The sequence below is a fragment of the Homo sapiens genome, chromosome 3 (genome assembly GCF_000001405.40).
Source record: "Homo sapiens chromosome 3, GRCh38.p14 Primary Assembly".
Taxonomy (NCBI): domain Eukaryota; kingdom Metazoa; phylum Chordata; class Mammalia; order Primates; family Hominidae; genus Homo; species Homo sapiens.
Genome location: NC_000003.12, coordinates 36,932,385 through 36,958,620, shown reverse-complemented (window position 1 = coordinate 36,958,620; position 26,236 = coordinate 36,932,385). Strand labels below are relative to the sequence as shown.

At 45.7% G+C, this 26,236-nt stretch overlaps 1 protein-coding gene across 9 annotated transcripts in view, besides 4 other annotated features; it reads left to right on the top strand.

Annotated features, from left to right (window-relative positions):
• Positions 3,525-3,734: a transcriptional cis regulatory region, noted in NCBI's record as "candidate enhancer chr3.1267 targeted for multiplex CRISPR interference". NCBI's record gives its function as "positively regulates TRANK1 gene expression with high confidence in K562 cells {active_cell/tissue: K562}" and the evidence as "EXISTENCE:mutant phenotype evidence [ECO:0000015][PMID:30612741]".
• The window catches only part of TRANK1 (tetratricopeptide repeat and ankyrin repeat containing 1), a 118,926-nt gene continuing 105,566 nt past the window's right edge, over positions 12,877-26,236 (top strand). For 6 of the 9 annotated variants that reach the window (NM_014831.3, XM_047449328.1, NM_001329998.2 and 3 more), the window contains exon 1: positions 13,567-13,834. In NM_014831.3, the coding sequence (NP_055646.2) occupies positions 13,812-13,834 (23 nt within the window). In that variant the 5' untranslated portion in view covers positions 13,567-13,811. Of the gene's footprint in view, positions 13,159-13,566; positions 13,835-26,236 lie in introns of those variants that run through there. The other 3 variants (XM_017007570.2, XM_017007573.2, XM_047449331.1) reach the window with 1 other exon arrangement.
• Positions 13,400-13,469: an enhancer, noted in NCBI's record as "active region_19666". NCBI's record gives its function as "activates an Ori minimal core promoter by ATAC-STARR-seq in GM12878 lymphoblastoid cells {active_cell/tissue: GM12878}" and the evidence as "EXISTENCE:reporter gene assay evidence [ECO:0000049][PMID:35858748]".
• Positions 13,700-13,919: a silencer, noted in NCBI's record as "silent region_14195". NCBI's record gives its function as "represses an Ori minimal core promoter by ATAC-STARR-seq in GM12878 lymphoblastoid cells {active_cell/tissue: GM12878}" and the evidence as "EXISTENCE:reporter gene assay evidence [ECO:0000049][PMID:35858748]".
• Positions 19,869-20,163: a silencer, noted in NCBI's record as "tiled region #3248; K562 Repressive non-DNase unmatched - State 8:EnhW". NCBI's record gives its function as "represses a minimal TATA promoter and a strong SV40 promoter by Sharpr-MPRA in K562 cells {active_cell/tissue: K562}" and the evidence as "EXISTENCE:reporter gene assay evidence [ECO:0000049][PMID:27701403]".

Here is a 26,236-nt window from a genome sequence, read left to right as displayed (position 1 = left end):
CTACCGTTCTCGCTGTCAGAGACCACCGCAGGCTTTCTGACCTTTGGGACTTTAGTTTCATTTCCAGACTGTTCTTCCTTTTTCCTCCCCTTACCTATGAGAATTAGTTTCCCAGTTCAAATGCAAATTCCTTAGCCATCCTGCTGAAAATTGTTTTCCTCCACTCCTAAGCTCTTATGATGATAAACTTATTGTCATGAATACTAATTTGTAATTATATCTAGTAGCTTCCTGACATTGGTTTAATTACTGATCTGTGCTGTTTATTCATTCATTCCACAAGCATTGTGTCAGTAAAGTGCCAGGGAGCTGGGAACACAGAATGAACAAGATAAAATCCTAGACTTTGAGGTGCTCACCCTCTAGTGACAGATGACAGACAGTTATAAAATGATGTGATAAGGGCTGTAATAGAGGCATGAATAAGGAGTATTGAGCAGGGAGTGGTGAAAATGGGGAGGCTGGGCTGTCTATCTGGGAAAGTCCAGGTTTACACATGGGAGGTGATGATAAAGATGAGTCATGAAGGTCTCATCACAAGTTTTGGAGTTTGCCAGATAGAAGGAGGTGGGAATGTCATATCAGGCCACAAAAATAACAATTCATGAAAATACCACTAGTTCTTCAAACTGGAGTTCAGTAAGTTCAGGGCAAACCAGGTGTAGGATAGCTTCAGGCTTCCTCAGCTTGCCAACTAGATCTGATAGAGGTAGTTGGTTTTATTTGTGGTAATAAACTTGCCAAACTCTCTGGCTTGTCTGTGGCTGAGTTTTATTTGGTAGACACTGTGTCGAAATTTTGAATTAGTTGAACAGGAACTTTCACATAATTAAATCAAGTTTTCCAGTTTCTATCAGAAAATCAAAAGTTTTTTGACATCAAGCCCACCATCTCCATGGCAACAATTAGCTGGAGCCACTTTAGAAGGAGTCTGGCTGTCCCAGTTTGCTGTAGACCTTACCTCTCCCGGGCACTTATACCTACCTGGCCAGACACATTTAGTTGTGATATTTGCCTGACCTCTGTAGACAGCTGAATGTGACCTCTGTTTTGAGACATCTGGGGGCCCCAGTTACAGGAGTAAGCCAGGATTCTTTTTTTTTTCTTATTATACTTTAAGTTGTAGGGTGCATGTGCACAATGTGCAGGTTTGTTACATATGTATACAAGTGCCATGTTGGTGTGCTGCACCCATTAACTTGTCATTTACATTAAGTATATCTCCTAATGCTTTCCCTCCTCCCTCCCCCCATAAGTCAGGATTCTTAAGAAATCTGGTGCAGATCCCCTTTGTGGAGGTGATAATGAAGGGGAAGAAGGAAGGGGGAGCAGGAGTTGACCCAGCTGCTGAGGTTGGTTGTGTAGAGCGCCACCCAGAGGGGGATGGGTCAGAGCACAAAAAGAGAAACAGGCAGTAGTCCCTGTGGCTGGGGCCTACAGGAGGAACAGAGTGATGCATGAAGATGCCCAGGACCTATTCCTTGGACATTAATCCTGACCTGTGGGGGTAAGAGTGATAGGTCCACCCCTGACTGTCCTGGGAGCTGGGGCAAGAGTTCAAATGGAGATCCAGAGCCCATAGCCTGCTCCCTTTCTCTTCATATCCTCACCTCTGTCCCATAGAATAAAGTACACATGTGTGTGGACACCCGAGGCCATAAATCCAAGTTCTGTCCACAGCTTCCCTAGTTGCTGGCAAATAGCTGGCCCTTGGTCAATCGTTGAACCTGGGGGTATGTGCACTGCTACGTGGCCCACTCTCAGAAAGATAGACACAAGAACCAGGCCTGACCAGACTCTTAAACAAGTCTCAGAGCTGTTTTGGCAGGAAATTTTGGGGTCTAGGTACCCCAAATGTGTTCTAGAAGCTAGGTGTGGACTCTAGATGGGCACATCCCCTTGGGCTGGTAGACTCCTCATCCCCTATGGAGGGGCATAGTCAGAAGAGAGCCAGAGTCCTAGAGCCTTATAAATTCGAGGGCAAGGGCTGAAATATTGTCAGGAACAGGGATGCACTTGGGTTACTATGGGTAATGGGGTCTGCATTAGTGTGCTAGGCCTACTGTAACAGAGTACCACAAATGGGTGGCTTCAAACAACAGATACTTATTCTCTCACAGTTCTGGAGGCTAGACGTCCAAAATTAAGGTGTTGTCAGGATTCATTCTTTCTGAGGGCTCTGAGGGAGAATCTATTCCACACCTCTCTCCTGGCTTCTGGCGACAGCTGGCAACGGTTGGCTTGCAGATACATCACTCTAATCTCTGCCTCCATCTTCATGTGGCATTCTCTGTTTCTCTGTGTCTGCACATGGCCATTTTCTTAAAAGGATACAAGTCATATTACATTAGGGGCTCCCCCTATTCCAGAATGACCTCATTTTAACTAATTATACCTGCAACAACCCTACTTGCAAATAAGGCCATATTCTGAAGTAGTGGGAGTGAAGACTTCAACATATCCTTACTGGGGGGCACAGTTCAGCCCACAAGAGAGTCTATCATCAAGTCCCAGGCACCGACAAGGGAAGTAGGACTCACAAGTGTGCAGAAACCACCTTGCAGCCAGGCCTCCTACAGCTTGGGAACAAGGTGGATGATCCCCCAGGACAGCTTGGTTCTCCTTGACTCTTTCTTTCTTTCTTTTTTTTAAACGTGTTCTTACTCTGTCACCCAGGCTGGAGTGCAGTGGCATGATCTCAGTTCACTACAATCTCCACCTCAAGCGATCCTCCCCCCTCAGCCTCCTGAGTAGCTGGGAGCACAGGTGCATGCAACCACACCTGGCTAATTTTTTGTCTTTTTGTTAGAGACAGGGTTTCACCATGTTGCCCAGGCTGGCTCATTGACTTGTACTAATAGATTTACTGATCATCTAATAGCACGGCGCCCCAGTCCCTCCTCTTCAGCTTCAGTCACTCCTGCTGCTTTCCCAAGCAACTGCCTTCACTCTGTGTATCTCTTTCTCGACCTGATGACTTCAGCTGAATCTGGCCCTGTGGCCCCTGTAGCTGCTCTTTCATTGTTTTTCATCTTTTGCTCCCACTATCAGTTGCCCCTAACTTCCAGTTCAAACTGCTGAGAGATGGTCTGGTCCAGAAAATTGCTGTGGTCCCTGTTGGCATAGCTTTCTCACCAGTTTGCCTCAGGGGAAAATGGATAATCTGCATATTGTCTGCCCTAGGAATAGGTGCCTGCCCACTCAGGTCCAAGTAGCTGTGTCCCTGGTATCCATGGCCAGTTATCTCAGAGGAAGCAGCCTAGGTGGTTTATTAGCAGGTGGCTAAGGGCAGGACAGTTGCCCATTGCTCCCCCCAAGACAAGGTTTCCCAACCTTGGCATTACTGACATTTTGGGCTGAATAACTCATTGTTGTGGGGTACAGACCTGTCCGTTCTAGACTGTTTAGCAGCATCCCTGGCCACCACCTAACAGATGCCAGAAAAACCCTTTTCCCTTCCTGCAGAATTGTGACAATCAAAAATGTTTATAGACTTTGCTAAATATTCCCTAGGGGAAAAATCACCCTTGGTTGAGAACCACTGTTCTAAGGGTATGGGAGATACCAGAATTAGCCCATCCATGTGGGTGTAGTAGGTAGTCAGGACTGTGAATGTGAAGGCTACTGATTATATATCTACCCTCTCAGGGCTGACTCAGAGACTGAGAGAAGTAGCTTCTGCTAAGGGCAAGGGTCAGATAGAGCATTGATGGGTTCATAGATGAATGGCTGTGCTCATTCAAAATGGGGAAATCAAGACAGAGTAGTGTGTGTGTGTGTGTGTGTGTGTGTGTTGCAGCTGCATGGACTTGAGTGAGCATATTTATTGGTTTACTCTTTGTGTATGTATACATTTTTGAGAATGTGCAATTCCCTGTGTGGGCAAAGGTATCTGTGTGAGGGCATATATATATGTGTGTATCCAAGGTTGGACTGTAAATAGTCCATGCTGCCCCTCCTATGTTATCAGGATAGATTAGTGTCATATATGACACACCTCATTGGCATTCTCAGATTCTTACCCTTAGACAAGGTAAGAATCAGTTCCACTGAAGGTGAAATGGAAAACAACTTCTGCTGCAGTGTTTTTTGTTGTTGTTGTTGTTATTGTTGTTGTTGCTGTATAAACCTGTCTGTCTGTAAGCATATGTAATAGATAATGCTCCCAGTGGTCTCCAGTGACATTATCCTTGAGCATCAGAATCCAGGACTAAGCTCAGGGTCCAAGAGACACACAGCCAAGCCTATTCTGAACTTGTCTCTGTTTTCTAGTCTTAGCCTTTTGACCAAGTGGTTATATAGCAGATTGCTTAACTTTTAATTTCTTTAGTTTTCCTTTCTGTAAAATGCAGATATTAATACCCTTCTTAGAAGACTATTTTAAGAACAACTTACGTTATCATAAGGAATTTAAAGAATAGTGTTACAGAAATGTTGAATGAAGATAAATCGTCCTTCCTCCTGTACTTGCATTATTTAAGTTTTTCTCTTTTAAAAAAATCAACTGATATTTATTTCTGTACTGCATGCTCCTGGTCATCTAAGTATTTGTCTTTTTTACTTGGTTAGCTATCTGGGTACACAGAGTTTGGTCTGTGGTCTTCACTTGGTATAGTGGCTACCATGGCATAACTCAATAGTCATTTGTTTCTGTTGATTTTTTTTTTTTTTTTGACAGAGTCATGCTCTGTTACCCAGGCTGGCATGGCCTCGGCCCACTGCAACCTCCTCCTCCTGGGTTCAAGTGATTCTCCTGCCTCAGCCTCCCAAGTAGCTGGGATTACAGGAACCTGCCATCACACCCGGCTAATTTTTTTAAAATTTTTTAAATTTTTTATTTTTTGAGATGGAGTTTTGCTCTTGTTGCTCAGGCTGGAGTGCAATGGTGGGATCTTGGCTCACTGCAACCTCTGCCTCCTGGGTTCAAGTGATTCTCCTGCCTCAGCCTCCTGAGTAGCTGGGATTACAGGCATGTGCCACCACGCCTGGTTAATTTTGCATTTTTAGTACAGACGGGATTTCTCCATGTTGGTCAGGGTGGTCTTGAACTCCCGACCTCAGGTAATCTGCCCACCTCAGCCTCCCAAAGTGCTGGGATTACAGGTGTGAGCCACCATGCCCAGCCTGCTGATGTTTTTGACAGTGATGATTCTGCCCTGCCTACATCCCGAAGATTATCTGACAACTTTCAGTTATTCAGTGTTATTAAAATGGGTCCTTGGATACTTTCAGATGAGAAGAGCTTACCTTTCTTTCAACCAACCACCACATGTGAGAAGCAGAAAGATAGGTGGGGCAAGGCCATGCCCTCAAGATATTATAGTAAGGGATAAGCCACAGACTCAGAAGATAGAGACCTGTGGACACCCTAGTTGGGTGATTTTCTTATCCTTTGAAATTAATACTTTAAAATTTGTGTTCAGTCTGTCTACAGAGGAGAGACTGAGCAGTGTCTGGGCAAAGGCATTGGACAAAGACTTTACTGGAATATCAGCCTTTCCTCTGTGGTCCAGGAAATTTTATTTCGGACCTGACTCCTTACACTGCTTAGCACAAGCAGAACCCTGCATCTAATAGGACCTACTCCTGTTGGAAAACAGTTGAGTCACCTTCTATTGTTAGTGAACTTGTCCTTTGGATTGGTTCTCCATCAGTCCTGCCTCCAGCCCCCAAACCAACTGGTATTTCCAAAAGCTCTTTCCAATCCCATATAAAACTCTCTCCAGAGTTTTGGTAGATAAAACTCTTCATCTTGTTAGCTTTCCAGGAATGTTTTGGGGCTTGTTGGAGGTGAGTAGCATAGGCAGTTGCCCAGACAAATCACGCCTTGATCTGTCTCTGCAGTCTAAGGCCTTAAGGGAGTGATATCAGGTGCCATGGAGCAAAAGCCTAGGGAGGCATGGGAGTGGGGGATGTGGAATGGGGAGAAGAAGCATTATTGAGCACATTCTCCAAAAGACAGGACTTTCAACCATTTAAAAAAATATTGTAGGACTATGGTGAATTGAAAACAAGTATTTGTTTTTTCTCCCTCCTGAAACCCCACTAAATTGTTAAAAGGCATACGGAGAGGAAGAACACGAGAGAAGGCAACAGCAACAAAAGCCTGGAAGCTGGAAAGCTATTAGAAAAGTGGGAAATGGGCCGGGCACAATGGCTCATGACTGTAATTCCAGCATTTTGGGAGGCAGAGGCAGACAGATGACTTGAGGCCAGAAGTTCGAGATCAGCCTGGCCAACATGGTGAAACCCCATCTCTACTAAAAATACAAAAATTAGAACTGGTAGATCGAGAGTAGGGATTCTTAACCTTTAATTTGTTATGCACCTCTTAGCAATCTGATGACATCCATAGACCCCTGCTCAGGATAATATTTTTATTTTTATTATTTATTTATTTATTTATTTTTGAGACGGCGTTTCGCTCTTGTTGCCCAAGCTGGAGTGCAATGGTGCGATCTTGGCTGATTGCAACCTCCGCCTCCCAGGTTCAAGAGATTCTCCTGCCTCAGCCTCCCATGTAGCTGGGATTACAGGCTCATGCCACCGTGCCTGACTTATTTTTTGTATTTTTAGTAGAAATGGGGTTTCACCATGTTGGCCAGGTTGGTCTCAAACTCCTGACCTCTGGTGATCCGCCCGCCTCGGCCTCCCAAAGTGCTGGGATTATGAGCATGAGCCACCGCGCCCGGCCAGGATAATATTTTTAAATGCATAAAATGAAATGTATAGGATTACAGAGAAAACTATTTATATTGAACTATAATTCTCAACATATTAAAAATAACTCATTTGTGATATAATATATCTTCTTTATTAATACATTAAACAACAAGATCTAACAGTAGGTCTAATCATAATTATAAAGTAGATAAGCAAAAACAATATTCTGGGGTATCCACAACACTGTAATGGAATATGAAAGAATCCATGATTTCTATTGTTGACAAAGCTTTGGATACTGCTTTTACTGTAGTTTTAGTTTTTTCTTTGTTTTTGCCTACATACATAATCGAAGGCAATGCTAAATTTCAGTTAAAGAATAGTGCAGATAAAGATGATAATTACGTTCTTATTCAAATTCACAGACTTCCCAAATTCTCTGTATGGATTTCTGGTTAAGAACTTCTAGTTTAGAGGCTTGCTTAAATTCAGATTCAATATTTTTGGGTAAAAGTTCTTCACTCGTGTTGCTGTGTACTTCCTTTTGCATCACATCAGGAGGCACATAAAATCTGGCTGTCCCACTTTTAATGATGTTGGGATTGGTAAATGAGATTTAAAAAAACCTTGGCCAGATCTATCCTTTCTCCTAGTGTTTTTTTGCTCCATCGATAATCACTGACTACATGGGCTCCCACTTTTTGAATATGGGAAATCAGAGCATTCAGAAAAAAATATTGTAATGATTAAAGTACACCGACTGTATTTTTTTAAATCCATGAGTCATTTACAAAATTTGCTGAATCCCAGGGTACCAACTCATTCTGAAACTGGTAAATAAAGGGAGAAAAGCATTTATCCCACTTTTCCTATATGAACTATTTTTCAGGGCAACCAAATGATTGTAGATGGACAGTTTTTTATAAAAGAATTCCAGCTAATAAATGCAGAAAGAATGATATAATTAGAAAAATGATTTTTCTTTTTCTTCTCTTTTTTTGAGACAGGGTCTCTTTCTGTTGCCCAGGCTGGAGTGCAATGGCGCCATTATGGCTTACTGTAGCCTTGAACTCCCAGGCTCAAGCTATCCTCCCACCTCAGCCTCCTGAGTGGCTGGGACTGCAGGCTCATGCCACCATGCCTGGCTAATTTTTGTATTTTTTGTAAAGACAGGGTTTCTCCATGTTTCCCAGGCTGGTCTCAAACTCTTGGGCTCAGGTGATCCCGCCCCACCTTGGCCTCCCAAAGTTCTGGGATTACAGGCATGGGAGTAGTCAAACCACCATGCCAGGCCTGATTTTTCTTTTTAATGCTTAATTTCTCATGTTTGAGCAGTGGAAGCCCGTTTAAGTTGCTTGCAGGATCCTTGGACACAACCCCATTACTCTTTGGTAGCTTCTTTGCTTTCTGGAACAACAAAATGTCCCAAGCTCAACTTGTACATTTCTGCCCCAGACTTAGAATCTTTTTAATTTGCTTTAGAGTCTTGGTTTCTTGTAGAGAAGAATGTTGTTTAGAGATCACTTCCTGGGTGCCAGAGGTGCACATTGTTAATGATCCCAGTAATACCACATCATATCAAAGATGGACAGAATGAATAGAGATAGGAAATAAATCATGAGTCCATACTGGTGTTTCTAATTCAGTTTTCAGATTACAGATTTTTCCATCAACTTCTTTTATTTTATGTTTGTATTTTTCTCTTATATTTAATATCTTGGTTTTGAATGACACATTGTCATAATTAATTATTTGCTTATTCTAATTTATACTCATTATTAAGTAATAAAAATATTACTAAGCAATATTTTTAAACAAATGTTTTAAAAATAGAGTACCAGTATTACTTAGTAAAAATATGACTATTAAATTCAATATTTTTATTGTTTGTTATCTTTTTCCCTTGGTATACATCCCTGTAGTCAAAATATTATGTCTTAATGTCACTAGAAATAATTTTTGTGTAGTTATGCTATCTACTTGATATACAGTTTAGTTTGTCTCAGTTTGTTTTCAATTTTAGGAACTGCTTTTTAAAACTTAAATACAACTTCTCAATTATGTTAAATGCATATATGGTTATGAAGCTGAAACTATAAAACAAGGCATATTTAAAGAAGCCTAGCTTCCCTCCTGGTCTCCTCTACCCCTTTCCTTCTTACAACCACATATCTCAGTTTTTAGTTTTCTTTCCATTGTTTCTTTCAGAAATCATAAGCAAATACATAAAAATACCCACTTCTACTTACTTCAAAGGTAGCATACTATAAACACTGTTCTCGTCTAGATTTTTCTCACTTAGCAATATTTCCTGGCCTTCAGCCCACAGTCTTATATAGAAATACTTCTCATTTCTTAGTACAGCTCCATAGTTTCCCACAATGTGGATGTACTATAGTTTATTCAATCAGTTCTTTGTTGATGGATATCTTGTTCCCCACTGTTAGTAATGAGTAGATAAGCATCTGAGGAAAATCCATAACAAGGGGAACAAAACATAACACAGAAACAGAAAAAGAATCATGGAGAATAGAGCCTATGCAAAAGGAAAAAAAAACCCAATTACCATCTGCAAGGAGATAATAAAAGATATGCAATCATGAAAAGGCAATGGGGTACTCCAACAAACGAATGCTCATAGAATAAAAAAGACCTCTTGGAAAAGTTAAAGTATGATATCAGAAACAAAAAACTCATTAAGAAGTGGAAGATAAAGTTGAGAAACTCTCCCAGAAACTACAGCAAAAAAGGCCAAAAAAGATGGAAAACAGGGCCGGGCGTGGTGGCTCACGCCTGTAATCCCAGCACTTTGGGAGGCCGAGGTGGGCGGATCACGAGGTCAGGAGATCAAGACCAACCTGGCTAACACAGTGAAACCCCGTCTCTACTAAAAATACAAAAAAAATTAGCTGGGCATGGTAGCAGGCACCTGTAGTCCCAGCTACTCGGGAGGCTGAGGCAGGAGAATGGCGTGAACCCGGGAGGTGGAGCTTGCAGTGAGCCAAGATAGTGCCACTGCAGTCCAGCCTGGGCGAAAGAGCGAGACTCCATCTCAAAACAAAAACAAAAACAAAAACAAAAACAAAACAAAAAAAAAGATGGAAAACAGGAGAGAAGTGATTTGAAAATTAAGCAACTGTATCACAGAGATCAGTCCTGGAAGTTCAATATCCTGAATAATAGGATTAAAAAGAGAGAGGGAGAGAAAGAAAATGGAAAAAAAAAATCAATAAAATAATTCAAGATATTTTCCCAGACTGAAGAGCTTGAGTGTTGAGACTGAAATAACCCACGCAGTACCCAGTGGAATCAATGAATGGGCCCACATCAAAGCAGATCATTGTGTAATTTCAAAACACTGGGGAGGAAAAGAAGATTCTTCATGCTTCCAGAGATTTAAAAAAGAAGAGGTCCTATAAAAAGATTGATGACTGATGCTTGAACCCAGGAGGCAGAGGTTGTAGTGAACTGAGACTGCACCATTGCACTCCAGCCTGGGTGACAGAGCGAGACTCTGTCTCTAAATAAATAGATAAGATTGATGATTGAATGTTTTCAGAATTCCCAACAGCAGTACTGGAAGCTAGAAGTCACTGAAGTAATAGCTTCAGAATTCTGAAGGAAAATGATTTCTATTTTTTTTTTGTTGAGACAAAGTCTCCCTCTGTTGCTGAGGCTGGAGTGCAGTGGCATGATCTTGGCTCACTGCAGCCTCCACCTCCTGGGTTCAAGTGATTCTCCTGCCTCAGCCTCCGGAGTAGCTGAGATTACAAGTGCCCACCACCACGACTGGCTAATTTTTGTATTTTTGGTAGAGACAGGTTTTCACCATGTTGGCCAAGCTGGTCTTGAACTCCTGACCTCAGGTGATCTGCCTGTCTCAGCTTCCCAAAGTGCTGGGATTACAGGTGTGAGCCACCACGCCCGGTAGAAAATGATTTCTAGCTGATAATTTTATACCCAGCCAAACTATATTAAGGATAAAGGTTTTCAGACAAGCACAGTCTCAAAAATTTTACCTGATCATGCATAAAACTGAGGGGAAAAAAGCCCCAACAACAAGAAGTAGCAATACAAACGTTATTTAGAGACATGAGCATAGGCATCAAAATAATCAGCTGAAAGATGTAAAAGTGGTTGTTTCTAGGGAAGAAGTCAGGTGGAAGGGAAAAAGGGGCCTGCTCTTTTTATTTATTTATTTTTTATTTTATTTTTATGATTGTTTATTGAGATGGAGTCTCGCTCTGTTACCCAGGCTGGAGTGCAGTGGCATGATCTCGGCTCACTGCAACCTCCACCTCCCAGGTTCAAGCGATTCTCCTGCCTCAGTCTCCAGAGTAGCTGGGATTACAGGCATGCGCCACCATGCCCAGCTAATTTTTGTATTTTTAGTAGAAATGGGGTTTTACCATGGTGGTCAGGCTGGTCTTGAACTCCTGACTCAGGGGATCTGCTTACCTGGGACTCCCAAAATACTGGGATTACAGGCATGAGCCACCACGCCTGGCTGAGGCCTGCTCTTTTAACTGTGAATGTATAACTGATAAAAATATAAAAATAGAAGACAGAGAAGAAACAGTTTTAAAAAGAAAGATAACATACTGACGTGACTTTTGAGGATTATGGTGAAGATATCCAAAGAAGATGTATGACAACAAGATTTTGAGATGCTTATGAAAACTAGTGAAAGAGTGGTCAAAGTGTAAACGGACTTTTTGGTTTTTTTAAATCCTCCTCTCTTCACCAATCCCTTGGCTTGCTCTCTTTGATGTAAGAACCTGGCTAGGCTTTCTGGAAGTAGACTCCTTGAAGTTGGCAAAAATAACAACAACAACAACAACAAAACAAAATAACCCCCCAAAACAAAAAGAAAAACAAAAAACCCCAAAACCAAAAATATCTCCGAAACCAAAAAATACCCCGCAACCAAAAAACCCCAAACCAAAACCAAACCAAACCAAAACCCAAACTGAACAAACCCAAAAATCACCAACAGAAAGAGGTATGCTAGAAGAGGTGGCATGTGCTTTCCTAAATATAGAATTGGGGGATGTTGGGAAAAGTATTGGAGGAAGGATATGGAAAGTATCCTAAAAGTGAAAGGACCAATGATGTCTGGGAAATAGCAAGTAGTCCAACTATTTGGTGGCTAGCAGTGATTCTCAAACTTTGCAGCATGTTATAGTCTTTTAAAAATCCTGATGTGGCTGGGTGTGGTGGCTTGCACCTATAATTCCAGCACTTGGGGAAGCCTAAGTGGGTGGATCACTTGAGGTCATGGGTTTGAGACCAGCCTGTCTAACATGGTGAAACCCCGCCTCTACTAAAAATCTAAAAAATTCAGCCGGGCAAGGCGGCGGGCACCTGTAATCCCAGTTACTCAGGAGGCTGAGGCAGGAGAATCACCTGAACAACAGAGTGAGACTGTCTCAAAACAAAAACAAAAACAAAAATTCCTGACGCCCATGTCAATTAGACAATTTGGGAGTAAAAGCCAAACATACGCATATTTTTGGGTTTTTTTTTTTTTTTTTGTATTTTTAGTAGAGATGGGGTTTCTCCATGTTGGTCTGGCTGGTCTCAAACTCCCGACCTCAGGTGATCCGCCTGCCTCAGGCTTCCAAAGTGCTGGGATTACGGGTGTGAGCCACCCGCCCGGCCTTGTTTTTGTTTTTAAGCTCCCCAGGTGATTCTATTGTGTAACTAAGGTTGGGAAGCACTGCAGTATAGAGTTTGCATGAGGAAGCTAAGATTGGAAATGTGGGGCAAGATTGTGAAGAAGAATCTCAAATGCCCGGGTACCTAACCTGATCTCTAGGAGACAATGGAGTGCCACTGATGGCTTTTGAACTGTACGTGATTCATCCTGATGTTTGGGGAAGATCAATGCACAGAAATCTCTGTGAGATTCTAGAAGCAAGGAGACCACTAGCTAGACTGAGACTAGTTCACAACGCAGAATGACCAGTGGAGAGAAGTATACTGTGTGCCTTAGGTGTGTCCACGTGTTACCAAAGCCTCTCTGTTTCGCTGAAATGTGTGGTCCCCCTCACTAAAGCTCTGGTGGTGTCCTCCCTGCCACCAGGCAGCCTGGTGTGGTGGTCCCCCAGAAGGATGGGCGAACCACCGGGATGCAGTGTAGGCCGAACCTTGCCCCAGGGGAGGGCGGCGGGCTTAGCTCTCTGATTGGGTGGATTCTCTGGTGTGTAGGAAAGTACTCCCAGGCCCAGAGAAGCTGTGAAGACCAAACCGGCTCCCTAGGCCGAGAACCGCTGGGGAGGTAGCAGCCAGAGGTGGTCCTCTCCGACCCACTACTCTGTCGATCATCACTGGGGAGGTGGAAAGACAAGGCAAGATCCTCATTTTGTTGCCTGCTCAGGCCTGTGCGCACTTACTCTCCATGGACACGACGGTGAGCGTGGAGCAGCCCGCGGTCTCGCTGCCCCCTTCACTCCCGGACCCCCAGCCTCCCCAGAGTGGAGGGGCAAGCACACAGTAAGTACTTGATATTCGCCCGACTCCTGAGCTCCTCATCTGTAGGAGCTAGGGGGCTTGTTCTCCGTACGTCCTTTGTTGGAGGGAGGAACGAGGGAAGGAGAAAACCCACGCTGAGGCCGTTGGCCGATCACTTTCTTTACCTCCCGGACAACATTGATGGGCCCCACTAAGGAAAGCCGAATTCTCGCATGCCCGAGGAGTGTCGGAGGTGGTTGTGCGCCTAGTCCCTCCTGGTAAAGGGTTCGAAGCACTCGTTTATTCAAAGGCGGCCGAGAGCCATACCATTTGCTTGCATGACGGGAGACACCGAAACGCCCCTTTTGAACGCGATGACAAACACCTCCTCCCACTCAGCAGCGACGTGCACGTGACAGTTTTTGGGCTCTCGCAACTACGTGGAAACTTGGAATAGGTCTGCGGCTGCACACCGCCCGGACGCCGGGGTTCCTGCGTCCCCCGCCCCCTCTGATCGCGGCTGGGTAGCCGAGCCGCAGGCAGCTGGGGGCCCCCGAACGCCGCCTCTGCATCGCGCCGCCCCTGCCCCGGGCTCCGGTAGCTTTCGGGCTTCCGCACTGCCCGCCGCGCCCTGCCCACAGGGAAGCGCTTCCCCAGGCGGCGGCGGTCCTGGTGCGGACCCTCCGGCCGCAGCCATGTGGGACCCGCGGGCAGCTAGGTGCGTAGCGGCGCGGGAAGCACTGGGGCATCTCTGGCCTTCCGGGCCCGCCACCCTTCCTGGCGGGAGGCGGCCGCGCGCGGGGACTGGCGACCCTGAGGTAGCGGCCGAACGGGCCCGCCCGGCCATCCCTGTGGGGCCCACAGCCATCTAGGTGCAGACCCGAGCCAGTTGCGCGGGGTCGGTCGCGGGGGACGGCTTCGGCCTTTTCGGTCCGGAGGGACCAGGGCACGCGCTGCGACAGGACTGCGGCGGCGCGCGGCCTGCCTAGCTCCCACCCCGGCATCGAAGCCGCAGCTCTCGGGCCCACCTCCGCATCCTCAGGGGTTCCCGGGGGCTGCCGACAGGTTCCTGACCAGCGAGCGCGCCCCCGGGGCAAGCATTCTTGGCGGGCAGAAACCTGGGAGCGGAGCACAGCGGTGCAAGGGAACCGTGCCAGGCGGGAAGGGCGGAATTTGCGGGGAACTTGGAGCGCGCTGGCCTCTTCCCGGCAGTAGGAGGCCTTCTTCCCTGCCCGCCCGATTGAGGGCTGCTGGGCTGGCTCAAACTGGACTGCACGGTCCATCAGCCTGGGCTCACCGAGTCTAGGGGGAAGGTAGTAGTAGGGACCCAAGGCTGGGAAGCGGAGCCCTTAGAAGCCCTTGCTTCTGCCTCGGAGCGTTTCCGAACCGGAGCTCGGAGTCTGTTGCCTGGGAGGCGCGTTGCGTTTCCTCCCAACTCCCTGTCTCCGTCCCGCGGGGAGCCCTGTGCACTTGCAACCCGGCTGAGATAGAGCCCATCTTTGAGGTGCAGCTCAAGCCACCTTTTCTCCCAGATCGGGGTGTTTCTGGGCAGTTGAAAGCTTTGGTGCTTCCTAGGAAAATTTTTATGGAAGTGTGCAATTTGGAAAATAAAAGAAAAAAAAATTTAAGAAGCAGAAAGAGAATGGGGCTCTGAGGTCTCTAGTTCCCCTATCTGCTCCAACCCAGTTGCTGCTGGCTCAGTTAGTCCTTATGCGGGAAGGAATAGCTGGGATTAAAGCCTTGTGTTCCCAGCGTAGGTATGCGCTCCTGCTCCCTCGTGCTGAGCGTTTTGGGTTCCAGGATCCTTTTTGATATAAGGCTGTTATCCGGATGGCATCCTGTTTGGTCCTTTATAGAAAAAAAAAAAAAGTACTACGGTGTGTGTGTGTTGGAGGGCGGGGACGGTGGTCAGGAGTTTGTTTCAACTGTTTTCCAGGCAGGTCTGTTTTGTAGGATTGCAGGATAGGTGCTTGAGTTCATATGCTCTTTGTTGGCTTTTGCATCCTCTGCGGGGGGTGGGGGGGTGGGTAGAGGTGGGATAGGTGTGTGTGGCATTCACTCCCAGAGTCGCATCCCACTGCCACTGGCCTATGTATGGGTTTCTAGGTCTTTTTTCGATCAAGACCCACACCCACCCACCTATATGTATATAATGTATATATGCATAATATGTGTGTAATATTATATATACATATATACGCACACACACATACACATGTAAAATTGCAGCAAGAGCTTCATGGTATAGTTATTCTTTCTACAGGGTGAGGCACAATGATATTTTCCATTCTATTCCCTCCCCCCACCCCCCACCAGAGGGATTCTCGCTCTGTCACCCAGGCTGGAGTGCAATGAGGCGATCTCGGCTCACTGCAGCCTCCGCCTCCTGGGTTCAAGCGATTCTCCTGCCGCAGCCTCCGAAATAGCTGGGATTACGGGGGGCCGGGGGTGGGGCGCCACCAAGCCTGACTAATTTTTGTATTTTTAGTGGAGACGGTGTTTCGCCATGTTGGCCATGCTGGTCTCAAACTCCTGATCTCAAGTGATCCACCCGCTTCTGCCTGCCAGAGTGCTGGGATTACACGCCAGAGCCACCACGCCGGCCCATTCTATGTTTTTTTTTTTTTTTTAAAGCGGGTCATAAATTGTTAACTTCACTTTATGACCGACTGACCAGCTTTATGGGGCAACTGCAGGTTCTGTTTCCGCCGCTCTCCCAGAGTATGAGGAGACCGTCAGCATTTCACAGGGGAGTTGACTTTGGAAGTGAGGACTTGGTGTAGGAGTGATGAAGTAGACTGAAATTCATACTTGAGTGATAGAATACTGTAGGACATGGCTGTGTGGTTCAAGCCAGTACCATCTACAAAGACAGACCGCAGATGCTTCTGGTTACTTTGGTTCTGGCTATGTGTCCACAGAGAGCTGGCCTCCTGCATGGATCCCAGTGGGGCCTGGTGTAAATGCTAGGGAGGTAGGGGCATAATAGCTCCTGTTCTTTTTTTTTTTTTTTTTTTTTTTTGAGGAAGAAGAAGGGAAGATGCTGCAACCCTACTGCAGCCTTGGATTCATAGTTTTCTAAAAGGATTCTTTGGGTCTTGTCTCAGAATTTCACAGCTGCAATCAAGAGCTGGACCACGATCATTTTATAGATGAAGAAATTAAGGCCCAGAAAGGCCATCACTTGTTAGTCATTACCAACGAGTTAGTGTTAGATCTGGGATTAGACAACTTATCTCTTGACTTCCCAGTCCATGGCTCTCAGGAACCAAATAGAGACTGGCCTTGTGGAAATATTAAACTTCTATTTGCTGGTTGCTTCTGTTTTCCTGAAGTTACTACCAAAGACCCATTTCTATAGTATATGCCCTCATTATTTTATCTTTGCTTTTGGGGATGAAGATTATTTTAGCAGCCAAGTAGAGCCTGCAGTCCTCCTGTTTGGGGAAGGTAAAGTGATCTGAAGAGGAGGATTTTAAGAACTGAAGTGGAGGTTGAGGTGTGGGCCTCTCTGGCCATTATCAAGTATGTGGTGTTGGTTTTCTTGACCTTAAGGAATGAACCCTCCACTGCATTTCCAGATGGGGAGGTGGGGCTGACATGTCAGTGCTTTGCCCTCAGAGTGACCGCAGGCTCATTGCTTTTAAAACAAATTTCCTTGGAGTGCTGCCTGAGGTTCCCAAGGCCAAAAGCACCCTTGTTAAGAAATCTTTACAGGAAAGAAAGACTTGGGGCAGCAAAGATGACACTGTAACAGTTACAGCAAAGACTGATAGTCGGGCTGGTTACAGCGATGGGGAGAATGGTTAAGTTTAACCTTTAAAAAAGAAAGTATTGAGCCAGATAAACAGGCATCTTTGGAACACAAAAATGTCACAGTGCCCAGCCAAGAGTGATTACTCCTTTGGTCACTCCTTAGGTTAGCAAGGTTCATTCTGCCAGAGCAGACATTTTTCTTGGTCTAAAATTGCATAAGTATTGCCTTGTTTGTTTTTGTTGAAAATCTGGAAATGTGAATGACCTTTGCCTAAGATACCCTGGACTCCGTTTACCTGAATCAATTCCATCTTTTGCTTAGATGCTGAGCCTCACAGTACCTGCCCTGTGCTCACCATAGCATGCTTGTGTGAGCTCCTGTGAGCCTGGTGGGCTGGTGGGACTCCCTGTGTGTCTTTTGGAGCCAAGCCAACTCTGGGTTTAGCTATATCTGTCTTTGAAGTTCCAGCAACATTTTGATTGGGATTTTTTATTTTTTAAGCACTGGGTCCTCCTAGCACTTGGAAAGAGGGCAGTATTCCCAGTCCGAAAAATCAGTGATGGATTTTGGAGGAAACCAGGCCAGTAGTGCACAACACATAAAATATAGAGAATTATAGCACTATATTGGGTGATCTTCATTCACTGGGGCAAGAATGCTCAGACAGCAGCCTTGACATTGGATGGGCTCATCCTTCATGTTCAGCTGTGGCCACCAGGGCAATCATTTTTGCTCACCCTTAGACTAGCTCATCTTCTGCCCATGAAGGTCCACTCTACCTGGAGGCTCAATCACTGATGACTTCTAGGGACTCATTGGCCTGAACTCATTGGCCAGGTACTAAGGCCATCTATAATCTGGCCCCCAGACTGTTTCTCTAATATGGTCTTTCTTCTTGCCTTTTCTCACCCCTTCTTGCTTTTTGTTTTTCAAGTCAGTTCTGCTCCTCAGATATATCCAAGGGTCCATATTGGGTATGGAGGATGTAAATATATAAGACATAGGCTCTGCTAATTGTGATAGAACGGAGTTAATGTCATGTAGACCTGTGGAAAAGGATTAGTGGAGGTGCAGACAAGCTCTCGAAGAGACTTCCCAGCTCCTGAATCCTTCCCAGAAGAAGTATGGGAGGTCAGTTTTGAGCTGTACCTAAACAGGTGGAGAGCACTTCTAGCAGGCAGATTAGGATTGCCAGGTGGAAGAGAGGGACACTCCAGATTAAAGGAGCAGCTTCTTTTTTTTTTTTTTGAAACAGATTCTCGCTCTGTCGCCCAGGCTGGAGTGCAGTGGCACGATCTCAGCTCACTGCCAGCTCTGCTTCCCAGGTTCACGCCATTCTCCTGCCTCAGCCTCCCAAGTAGCTAGGACTACAGGCGCCTGCCACCACGCCCGGCTAATTTTTTTGTACTTTTTTAGTAAAGACAGGGTTTCACCATGTTAGCCAGGATGGTCTCGATCTCCTGACCTCGTGATCCACCCGCCTCGGCCTCCCAAAGTGCTGGGATTACAGGCTTGAGCCACTGCGCCCGGCCAAGGAGCAGCTTCTTACTAAGAATAATGGTGGGCCAGGCGCGGTGGGTCATGCCTGTAATCCCAGCAGTTTGGGAGGCTGAGGCGGGTAGATCACCTGTGGTTCGAGACCAGCCTGGCCAACACGGTGAAACCCTGTCTCCATTAAAAAATAAAAAAATTAGCCAGGCATGGTGGTGCACACCTGTAGTCCTAGCTACTCGGGAGGCTGAGGCAGGAGAATCGCTTGAACCCGGGAGGTGGAGGTTGCAGTGAGCCAAGATTGCACCACTGCACTCAAGCCTGGGCTACAAAGCAAGACTCCGTCTCAAAAGAAAAAAAAAAAGTGAACAAAAGGGCTTGGACACTAAACATCAACATAATAATAATAGTTTACCCTGTGCCAGCCTCTGAGTTGTGTTTCATATATTATTATATTTAATTCCCACATAAATATTTTGAGCAAGTACCATTTTACAGATGTACCTGTACTGGAATGTGAGCTTCATGAAGGGGCAGCAGTGTTTTTTGTTATTGCTGTTTCACATAGCTCAAGCATCTGGCAGACAGAGTACCTGGTACACAGTAGGCACCAATCAATATTTGTTGACTGTGTGAGGAGACAAGGAGTCCAGTCATGTATGTGATACTGTCCTTGTTTTCCAGTAAGGAAACTGAGGCCTAGAAATTAAGTGAATTTACCACCTGACACCAGGCCTGGAAGAGAGAACAGTGGGACTTGATCCCAGATTTCTGGATTTTCTCTTCTATGAGGAAAACACTCATATCCTTGTATCTTCCTTTTGGGACTAGTCCCAGCCCTGTTAACACTGCTGTGCAAAGTCATGTGAATGGGAGGGAGCCACATGAATTTGTGGTCATGTGGCTAAAACATGGTGGGCACATAGTGTTAGAGAATACTAGAAAGGTAAGTAGAGGCGTGTGTGTGTGTGTGTGTGTGTGTGTGTGTGTGTGTGTATGTTAGAATGGGAATCTGAACTATTCAGGCTTTATTCTACATGAGGGTAGAGGCCATGGAAAATATGTTTGTGTGCCTGTGTATACACACAGCTCTGTGTTATTTATTTATTTATTTATTTATGAGACAGGGTTTCGCTCTGTTGCCCACGCTGGAGTACAGTGGTGCGGTCTCAGCTCACTGCATCCTCCACCTCCTGGGTTCCAGCGATTCTCCTGCCTCAGACTCTCAAGAAGCTGCAATTACCAGCATGTGTCACAACACCCGACTAATTTTTGTATTTTTGTATTTTTTTTTTTTGAGACGGATTCTCGCTCTGTTGCCCAGGCTGGAGTTTGGTGGCACGATCTAGGCTCACTGCAGCCTCTGCCTCCTGGGCTCAAGTGATTCTCCTGCCTCAGCCTCCTGAGTAGCTGGGACTATAGGCACGCGCCACCACCCTCCGCTAAATTTTTTGTATTTTGGTAGAAATCAGATTTCACCATGTTTTCCAGGCTGGTCTCGAACTGCTGAGCTCAGGCAATCCTCCCACCTCGGCCTCCCAGAGTGCTGGGATTACAGGTGTGAGCTATCACACCCGGCCAGCTCTGTGTTTTATTTAGAAGTTTTGACTCTGGAGGCTGGGAGTGTGGATAAATACATCTTTCAGCCTGGCCAAAGTCCACAGTTTTTTCAAGGTAAAGTTCAAGTCTCTATGTATGTGTCAGGAAACTATGAACTAGTGTTAGAACAGAGGCTAGAATGGCTGGGCCTGGTGGCTCACGCCTGTAATCCCAGCACTTTGGGAGGCTGAGGTGGGTGGATCATGAGGTCAGGAGTTTGAGACCAGCCTGGCCAACATGGTGAAACCCTGTCTCTACTAAAAATACAAAAATTAGCTGGGCATGGTGGCGGGCGCCTGTAATCCCAGCTACTCAGGAGGCTGAGGCTGGAGAATTGCTTGAACCCAGGAGGCGGAGGTTGCAGTGAGCCGAGACCAGGCCACTGCACTCCAGCCTGGGTGACAGAGAGAGACTCCCTCTCAAAAAAACAAAAAAAACAAAACAAACAAACAAACAAAAAAACCCAGAGGCTAGAACTCCGATTCTCCCAGTGCTGTTAAGGGGCCACCCTTCAGATGTCCTTGTCCATGGGAGATTGTTTTGTCTACGGGGAGCTCCTGGACACCTCCAGACCCTCCCCATGCAGCAGTGAACGGTGTTTTCACCTCTCTGCTGGGTTTGACTTGCCCCTCAGATTGAGGAGGAAGCAAATTGCTGTGGTCTTGGGGTTGGGAGGTGGAATGAAGGGCATTAGTTAGCATTTAAATGCTACATAGAGGCTTGGAGAAGGTTCTGGGTGGGGAGATGCCTGGGCTGCTATTATCAAAGCCCAAGTTCTCCTTTGATTAGAAAACATCTTTGTTTAATGGCTGTCACTGGAGTGCCTGGTGTACTCCCTTTTCGGGGCTGCTCCCAACTTCATAGTTCCTGGGACACTCTGCATAAACAATGGGGGCCATGAAGGAAAAATGGCAGTTATTGGGCAGCCTAGGCCTAGCACAGATACCTAAGTCAAGATTTATGAGTAATCTGTGGTTGGCTGATGCTTAACTAAATCATTTGTCTTGAGACATTGTGGAATGCTAACTTATTGGTTATTCTTTGGGCTGGCTTTTGCAGGAATTTGATTTTAGTTTTAAAGGCCCCTTTTCTGATTTTCCCAATAATCTTTACTCTTTGTACACCTCTTCTGTCCTATGGGTTGTTAACACAGATTTTTATATCAGACTTAAGTTTGTTCCTTGCTTGGAGAAGTCCCTTCATTTTGTGTAAATCTATTTCCTGATCTGTGAAATTGGGATATTTGTACCTCCTGGCATTCTTAAAGACATTCAGTGAGAAGATGCTTGAGATGGGTTTAGGACAGGGCTGGGCACATAGTAAGTGCTGAATACACTTTACTTGTTATCATGCAGCTGCCTTAAACTATTCATCCAAATAATGATCTGGAAAAACAATAGCCTGTGGCACACTGAGGAGAAATCATGTGTCTACCACTAGCTACACAAAGGGAGGGATGGCTTAGGGTCTCCTCTTTGGAGGTTGAATGACTGAGACTCCATTTCAGACCCAGAAGTTGAAATTGATCTGTCTTTGCCATTTATTTATTTATATATTTTTTGAGACGGAACCTAGCTCTGTCACCCAGGCTGGAGTGCAGTGGCATGATCTCGGCTCACTGCAACCTCCGCCTCCCGGGCTCAAGCAATTCTCCCTCAGCCTCCAGAGTAGCTGTGATTACAGACATGTGCCCATGCCTGGCTAATTTTTGTATTTTTAGTAGAGACAGGATTTCATCATGTTGGCCAGGCCAGTCTCGAACTTCTGACCTCAGGTGATCCACCCGCCTCAGTCTCCCAAAGTGCTGGGATTACAGGCGTGAGCCATCATGCCGTCCTGTCTGCCCTTTAGCAGTATTTCTTGAGCATTTTCCTGGCTTGGTTTTAGGGAGTTGGAACCATCATCTGTCTTTCAAGGCCCATCTCATCTGCACGCTGTCCATGACTAAAATGTGGGGCGAGGCTCTCAGCTCATCCTTCCTCGAGAATGGCTGTTTTTAGCCTGAGTTTACACTCTTCATCCTTTTTTTTTGGAGTTAAAATGTTCCTCCTTTTGTGAAATTATTGGGGCGTAGTTGGTACTTTTTAAAAAAGTTCTTTTTTGGCAAAATTAAGTGTTGGCAACCCTATCTTAGATTCCCTTCAATTTCCTTTTTTTTTTTTCTTTTTTTGAGACAGAGGATCTCACTCTGTCACCCAGGCTGGAGTGCAGTGGTGTGATCACAGCTCACTGCAGGCTTGACCTCTTCCGTCTCAAATGATCCTCTCACCTAAGCCTCTTGAGTAGCTGGGACTACAGGCATACACCACCATGCCTGGCTAACTTTTAATTTTTTTGTAGAGATGTGATCTCGCTATGTTGCCCAGGCTGGTATTGAATTCCTGGACTCAAGCCATCCTTCCACTTTGGCCTCCCGAAGTGCTGGGATTACAGGCGTGGCCCACCACACCTATCCCTTTTCTTTTTTTGTGCGTGCAAATGCTACTGTTTTCCAGTTCCAAAAAGCTAGGAATTACTGATCCTCCAGGATTGTTCTTAGCTTTTAGCATTTTCGAATCTCCAGGACTAGAATTGCTCACGGGGATATGTTACCTTGTTTGCTGACCATTAGATTCTCAACAGGTGCTTATTAATTTGTATACACCTTTTCCCTTTGTTTTCCCCAAGTAACAAAACCACCTGGCTTTATGGGAAATGGCCAGAAATCCAATACCACCAGTGAAATAATCTAGTTTGAATTAAATCTCCCAAACTTTTATTCCTTTTCTAGTCCTCTAGCTTAATCATCTGCCTCTGATAAGTAAGAAGTGGCCAGAGAATCATTTATTCATGCAACAAATGCTGAGCCCTTGGGTTGCAGAAATAGTAAGACTTACTAAGACTTAGTTTTTGCCTTAAGAATTCAGGCTTTGGCCGTGTGCGGTGACTCACGCCTGTAATCCCAGCCCTTTGGAAAGCCGAGATGGGCGGATCACCTCAGGTAAGGAGTTCAAGACCAGCCTGACCAACATGAAGCCACATCTCTACTAAAAATACAAAAATAGCTGAGTGTGGTGACATGTGCCTGTAATCCCAGCTACTCGGGAGGCTGAGACAGGAGAATCACTTGAACCCGGGAGACAGAGGTTGCAGTGAGTTGAGATTGCGCCATTGCATTCCAGCCTGGGCAACGAGAGCAAAACTCCATCTCAAAAAAAAAAAAAAAAAAAAAAGAATTCAGGCATCTTCTAGGGAAAGCAGTAAAACAAATTAGTGTCTGGCACAGAGCTGTCGAGACCAGCACAGTGCCCCAAACATAGAGGCAGGGTGGGAAATATATGGCAAAAGAACGAGTAAATCATAATTCAGGGGATTAAGTGGTATAAAAGCTACACACAGGACCTTATAGAGGTGTGTTAAGAGCAGCAGCAGTGACTGTGGCCCCTCACCCTCCCGGGGTGGGCATGCAGGGAGACCATGAGGTTTGGAGGGGGTTAAAGTGGAGGGAGGGAGAAAGGCCCAGAGAATCTGCAAGTCCCTTGGGGAAGAGCTGATGTTCATAGAAATTGTGCTGGGAGGCAGATGGGGTTGGGGGCCTGGGTGATCTTGGGGTCTTTTTTAATCTGGACACATAGCACATGATCTGATGGTCTTGGGGACTGTCTTACAGATTGTGGTGAAGAGGCCATGCTGGAGCTGGGTGAGGGTGGGCCAGGGAGAGCAATGAAAAGGCCAATTTTGCAGTAATCCAGCCTGGCAAGGAAGATACCTCTGGAGGGTGTGTGTGAACCCAACTCAGGGATAGCTATTCTGGGGCCTGCATGCCTCCTAAGGGAGGCAAGCTGGGAATGAGCTCGAGAACAGCTGACTGTGTGTCTTTGGCTTGTTGTTTTCTAGTTAGGACATTCTGGATGCTTGTGCTTAAATGCACAAGTTGATTTTTGGCTCAAGTCTTTGTTGTCATGTAAACTGGGAATGGCACATAGGATTCATCTGGGGCGTGAACTTGTGGCCACCTGGAATGAATGTTTCACAAAGGATTCCGAGGCCTTGTCAGGTACTACAGGAAGGAATACTGTGACCAGAGATACCCAGGGCGGGGTGAGGGTAGGACACCCCTGGTATTATAGACCCTTGTCTAATGTGCAGCTGTAGAGAAGGATGAAACAGGCAGGTCACTTTTCCTTGCTTCCCTCGTTTTTAATGAATGAGAGAAAAAACAACTCAAACGATTTAGACAGAAGGAGGAAAGTTCCTGAAGGGTGCTTAGTAACCAAGGAAGGGGTAGGCAGCAGCTGGGCCTCAGGGCAATGGGATGTGGAATTTGGGGGCTGTAGGAGCCCCGCTTTCTGCCTTTCTTTTCTCTGGGCACAGGCATTATATTCTTTTACCCCAGAAATTGGCTTCTTCTCAGGGTAGGAAGTAAGGCTGCAACCCTCTGGAGCCTCCTATCTCAGTTTCCAACACAAGGGGACTCTTCCCAAAGTTCTAGTTAAGAAACTCCCAGGAAAGGGCCTTGTCCTGGCAGGTCTGGCCCATGGAGCACACACAAGGCCCTGGCCTGCCTCTGTGTACCTTGGCTCTCCCCTGGAAGGCCTTTGCAGTGAGCTGAGCAGCCATCTAGAGCATGCCTACCATGGTGACATTGCCCTCCAGCTGAAAAGGGTTTCTTAGGGCCCCTGAGCAAGTGCCCTGTTTCCTAAAGGAACAATCACAGTGGAAAGAGTTGGGGCTATTTCCAGACATCACAGTGCTGACCTGTCCCATGCCTCATCCTCACAGCCTATCTTAGCTTGGGAAGTGGGGCAAGGTCTTGAGTCCCACAGACTTTCTCAGCTGTAGCTGCTTAATTGATTAGTAATTTCAGGGAACCCCTTTGAAAAACAGACAAATACTAGGGCTATGTTTTTACCAAATATTTTCTCCTCACTGGGTAAACAAAGCAAAGGTTCTGTAAATGTTGCAGGGATTACACTCAAATAACATGCAGGGATCACCATGGCCCATATCCCATTAACCTGAAACATCATGAACCAGAAGCAAGCCCTGGGATCTAGGCCTGTCTTTCCTGCCCACCCAGAAATGGCAGGTGACAGGTAGTGTGGACCAGGGTGCTGGGGTGGATGCTAGGAGATAAGCCTGGGTTTCACCTCTGGTGCTCACTGCTGTGTGGCCTGGCTCAAGGCCCCCTAATCTCTGAGCTTTGGGTTCCTTGCTCTAGAAATTGTAGTCCAATCATCTCACTTTTGTTGGGAATAACATTCAAAATCCTAAGGAGATTGAACACTCAAACAGAGGATTCTTAGCAAAGCAATTTTACTTTGCGCAGAGGGGTGCCTCCTTGGCCAGTCGCCATGACAGCACACCTGAACAAAGGGGCACGAGAGCCTTTATTCCTGAAGCAAGTGCGCCTGTACCCTTTCCCCATTGGCTGGGTTCAGGCCGTAAATTCTAAACTAATCCCGGTTGGCTAAACATTTGAACTTTTTAAAGATAAGGTGGGCACATAAGGGAGAGAGGGGAAAGGGGAAGGGGTGTCTGCAATGAGCTAGAGAGCATTTCCAAATAAGGAAAGGAATGTGAGCTAGTACTGATAACGCCTGGTACTGTGGCATGTCTGGACATGTAACAAAGACAGAAAGGAAGAAAAAAAGAGAAAAAGGGGTTTGGGGGTACTATGAATTAAAGAATAAAGGATTGATCAAGCTATTTGAAGAGAAACCTCATCATATCCCACACTTTATTGCATTTTTTCTATTTATATGATTCTGTGAATATATTCAGTGGTGGTGTATTAGTTTCTTAGGGCTGCAAAAACAAACTACCACAAATTAGCTGACCTAAAACAACAGAAAAATGTACTCTCTCATAGTTCAGTAGCAATCTTCCCATTCCCAGATCTGCTCCCCAAAGATCACTGCTCTTATTAGTTTGTTAAGTCAGAAATCTCTCTATAGATGAAATGTACACACACACATACATCCTTAAGCTCTTCAACTCGTTCTCTAAGTTGCTCTCCAAATTGCTCTCCAGTTTGCTTTATTCACTTTAATTGCATATTTTGACACTCTGATAGCTCTAACTCATACTTTTTGTGTGTGCGTGTTTGTTTGTTTGAGTTGGAGTTTCGCTCTGTTGCCTAGGCTGGAGTGCAGTGGTGCGATCTCGGCTCACTGCGACCTCCACCTCCCAGGTTCAAGCGATTCTCCTGCCTTAGGCTCCCGAGTAGCTGGGATTACAGGCACCACACCTGGCTAGTTTTGCATTTTTAGTAGAGACGGGGTTTCACCACAT